Source organism: Homo sapiens, chromosome 12 (assembly GCF_000001405.40).
Source record: "Homo sapiens chromosome 12, GRCh38.p14 Primary Assembly".
In the NCBI taxonomy this organism is placed as follows: domain Eukaryota; kingdom Metazoa; phylum Chordata; class Mammalia; order Primates; family Hominidae; genus Homo; species Homo sapiens.
The window spans coordinates 54,666,213-54,670,527 of NC_000012.12; positions in this window are offsets into that span (position 1 = coordinate 54,666,213).

Below are 4,315 nucleotides of genomic sequence, written 5' to 3' on the forward strand. Positions count from 1 at the left end.
GTGTTTACAGAGTGACTGGTTGAAGGATGTGCCCTGGAGTGAGCAAATGGAGGAAGGAGTCGAGCAGGACCTGAGGTAACTCTGGGCCTTCAGATGGTCACAGAGGAAGAAAGGAAAAGAAAGGAGGAATGTTCTTTACAACGGGACACCGGATTGCCTATTGGCTCCACTTCCATACATTCACCATCCACCATCCAACCTTATTGGGAAACCTTTCTGTCAGCATCCTCATCGTATTCACCCCTTGCACCTTCCATGAGAGAAGATGAGAGAAAAAGGGAGAGAAAGAGAGAAAGAGAGAGACTCATCATGGAAACAGACATATAGAAACCTATGCCAGATGCCTATAGCATTGCAAAGTGCCAAGAGAGGAAGAACCAAAGGTACTGCATTTAAAACAAAGAATTACTAAATATTGAAGGAAAATGAATGATATTGAAAAAGAAGAACCTCCCTTGTAGCCTAGTGGTTAGGAAAAATAAAAATAAAAAAAGAAAAAGAAAAGAAGAACCAAGATGAATAAACACAATAACTGATCAACAATGAAACAAAACTTTTCATTTCAGATAAAATGCTAATTGCTTAAAAAAATTAAGTGGATATTAAATCAATAAAGCTAAGGTAGAGTTCCATGAAGAAAAGCCAATCACTAAAGAAGAAAGACTTATGATTTTAAAAGATGATTATAAGAAGAAAGCAATTAATAGAAGGGCTGAGTAACTGAAAGTATGTGGTCGCAGAATAAATTAGTGATTTAGAAATTAAGGTGTTTTTTTTTTTGTAATGTGAAGGCAGAAAGACAATAGAAATTATGGGACTGACATTAAAAGATATGGAGGATATGCCCAGGGGACCAAATACTCACTTAAGAGAAGTAAAAGAGAATAAAACAGATGGGAGAGACAGGGTCGAAGAAATAATAGAAGAAGTTTCCCTGATAGCAAGATATCCTCCAGACTTTAGATCTAAAGCATACACTAAGTGCTAGGTAGGACTACTGAAAGGCACCCACACCTAAATTCATGCGGGTGAAATTTCTGGATTTCAGAGGTTTAAAAAGGCTTACTAATTTTCAGAGAAAAAAGGTAACTTGCAAAGGAACGCAAATAAGATTAGCACCAGGCTTCTGGTCTGCTCCAGAAAATTAATGGACAATGGATCAGGGCCTGCCAAGTTAGAGCTAGAGTTACATAGCCAGTCAAATATGAGGCCAAAATAAAGAACTATGAAAATATATCACTCATGCTCCTTTTTGGAAAATCTAGTCTACAGACAATACAATTTCAAGGAAGGCGAATAGGATATACAAGAAAGAGTGGTAAACAGAGAAACTAACAGAATATATAGTTAAGTCTAACAAATTCTTGTTATTATCATTGTGTTTAATACCATTGCTAAGAAATCCTAAAATAGAAATACATCTATTATATAATAAAATAATTATATTATTTGTATAATTATATATATGATTATAAATAAAATAATATATAAAATAATACAGTTATATGTTATATTAATAACAAAAATTAACCATATCTGAAATAAAATTATAGATACTGTTAAAGTCTTACAAGATAGGGAAAGAGGGATAAATTATACATGATACAGGTCTCATTTTCTGAGGAAGGTAAAGTCTGGTTATTAGTTGCTGATACTGATACAAGCATTGATTTAAATAGGTTTGTTAGAAACTTAAAAATAATATAGAATGGGTATGGTATGTAGATGGTGGTGGTGATGATACTGGCCTACTCAGTATCCATACTTGCTTTCTTTCTAAGTAATAGAATTCTAATTTTAGTTATCGGGGTAATGTGTCTAGTTAAAAGATAACATTCCTAGCCACATTTGCGGTTAGTAGTGGCCACTTGATTGAATGTAAATGGAAATACTGTGTGAAATATGAGCAAAGATTTCTTAAAAGGAGCTGACTCAGCAGACACGTGTTTTTGTGCCCATTTCCCTTCTTTCTTCCCGCTGTTTGGAAATTGGACAGGTTGGCTGGAGCCACCACAACTGCCATATGGCCTTGAGACTAGAAGTTGTGTCCTTAGGTCCTTGAGAATGATAGGGCAGAAAGAAAAGAGGTGGCTGGATTCCTGAGGACAGCGGGGCCTCCTACCAGGAGTCCTAGGCTGCCTTTCTCTAGTCTTCTTTTACTTAGGGGCTGGGGAGAAGCTTATGTCTTTACGCTGCTTATTTTGGAGTTTCTATTCCATGCAGCTGAACTGAATTCTAACTGATTTATAAATCTTTTAACGTGGCAGAGTAGAAAAGAGCAACAACAACAAAGAACTTGATCAATCCAGCAAAGATTCAGAAGGAAAGAAAGAACAAGAAAAGAATAAATAAATGGCAGGGTTAGAAGGTGAACTGCAGTCATAGATTTCTTTTATAATAGACACACCAGAAATAAAGTGACACACAAATGTTGAATATAAAGAGATGGAGAGAGAAATGTTAGGTAAATGGAATAGCAACATTATCTGGCAAAATAGAACGCAAGGCCAAAATAATTAAAGAGAACATGAAGTGCTGTTTTAAATCGCATAGGTTTAAAAAAGGTAAAATTCACTGAGAAGATGTAATAGTTACAAACTTTTATGCATCACACTTGCATTGAAACAAAGCAAAAACTGTGATGACTATGAGGACTACCTGACAGAGCCACACTCTCTGTAGGAGACATCGATCTGTTAAGTCTCGGAAGGTGACAGTTTATGTGGACAGAATATAATTTTGTATACAGAACATTTGAATAACACAATTGACAAACTTGCTTGAATGTTATAGCCAATGAAAAGAATAAACATTTTTTCAATACCTGTGTGGTTTTACAAAATCGATTAAATACTAGGTATCAAAGAATACCTCAATCCATTCTCCAAAGAAGAAATTGTAAAGGCCACTTTTTCTTACCACCATATAATACAAGTTAGAAATTAAAAATGAAAGGCAAATCATAATAATTAAAAAAAGAGTCCCTGGGGAAAAACAACAATCTTTCTTAGGTTAAAAGGAAAACAGTTGTGGGGTGGGGGGAGGGGAAAGGGATAGCATTAGGAGATATACCTAATGCTAAATGACGAGTTAATGGGTGCAGCACACCAGCATGGCACATGTATACATACGTAACTAACCTGCACATTGTGCACATGTACCCTGAAACTTAAAGTATAATAATAATAATAAAAAAAAGAAAACAGAGCCTTAAGTGATGATTGTTTTGGAAATGGATATGTGAACGCTGCGCACCTTTACTTTGCAGCCAACTGTTCTTAGAGGATCCCTGGTGTTTAGTATTTTATGAGAAATGAACATGTAGCAAAAGTAAATTCAAGTTTAGAAACTAGAAAATGTCTAATCAAACAATGTGAAAAATAGAAGAGGGCATTAATAGATGTAAAAGCAGAAATTAACTAAATTAAATTATGCAATCCCAATAGGAAAACATGGTTCTCCCTGAGTCTCTTCTGAAGTGCAGTCCACTCATTCCCACAGCCATGCTTCTTAGGTTGGGCAGTGGAATTCACAGACATGTGGATCATCCTAGACTCCACTGCAGAGTCCATTGAGTCATATCACTAATACCTCCTCCTCGGAGGAGTCTTGGGTCATCTGTCTACCCCTCCTCATTGTTTCACCTGCTGGGCTCCCAGCGACTCCTTTCCTTCATGGAAGACTTACTCCTGAGTGGTGGTCTTCTTTTTTGTTTTAAGCTGCTGGACAACTTCATGGATCATGACCATGACTTACCCAGAAGTCTGGGTTCTAGGGAACCATGGAAGTTCGGGTGAAAGTAGAAATTGACCTTATCATAACTTTCACCCCAACTCCCATGGTCAATCTGTGGCCGTGGTCATTTCTTAGAGTTACTCCAATTCTGAAAACACCCACATCCTCACCACATATCACCTATCCTTCCAACTCTTTCATTCTGATACTTCTTCTATATTTATTTTTCAAACTTCAGTTCCCTGACCATTTTATTTTCTCTTTTTCTGTATGCCTACTCCAGTCTTCACGTTCTTTCCTTTCCAGGTTAAATTACATGGTCTTCCACTTAGAGAAGTTTTTTGCCAATCTGTGTCACTTCCTGACCTCATTTTTACAAAGTTTGGCAAATTCTGAGTCTTGATAAATCTAGCTCTCTACTCTCTCTGTCCTATTCCAGGGCTATTGAGCACTTGTAGGAAAAAAAGGATATAAAACCATAAAGATTATACATTATAAACTTCTGGTTTGTAACCTCAACTAGGATCCCACTACATCCTTCACACACACCTAGTGACTTCATCAGCTTCACAGAGAAAAT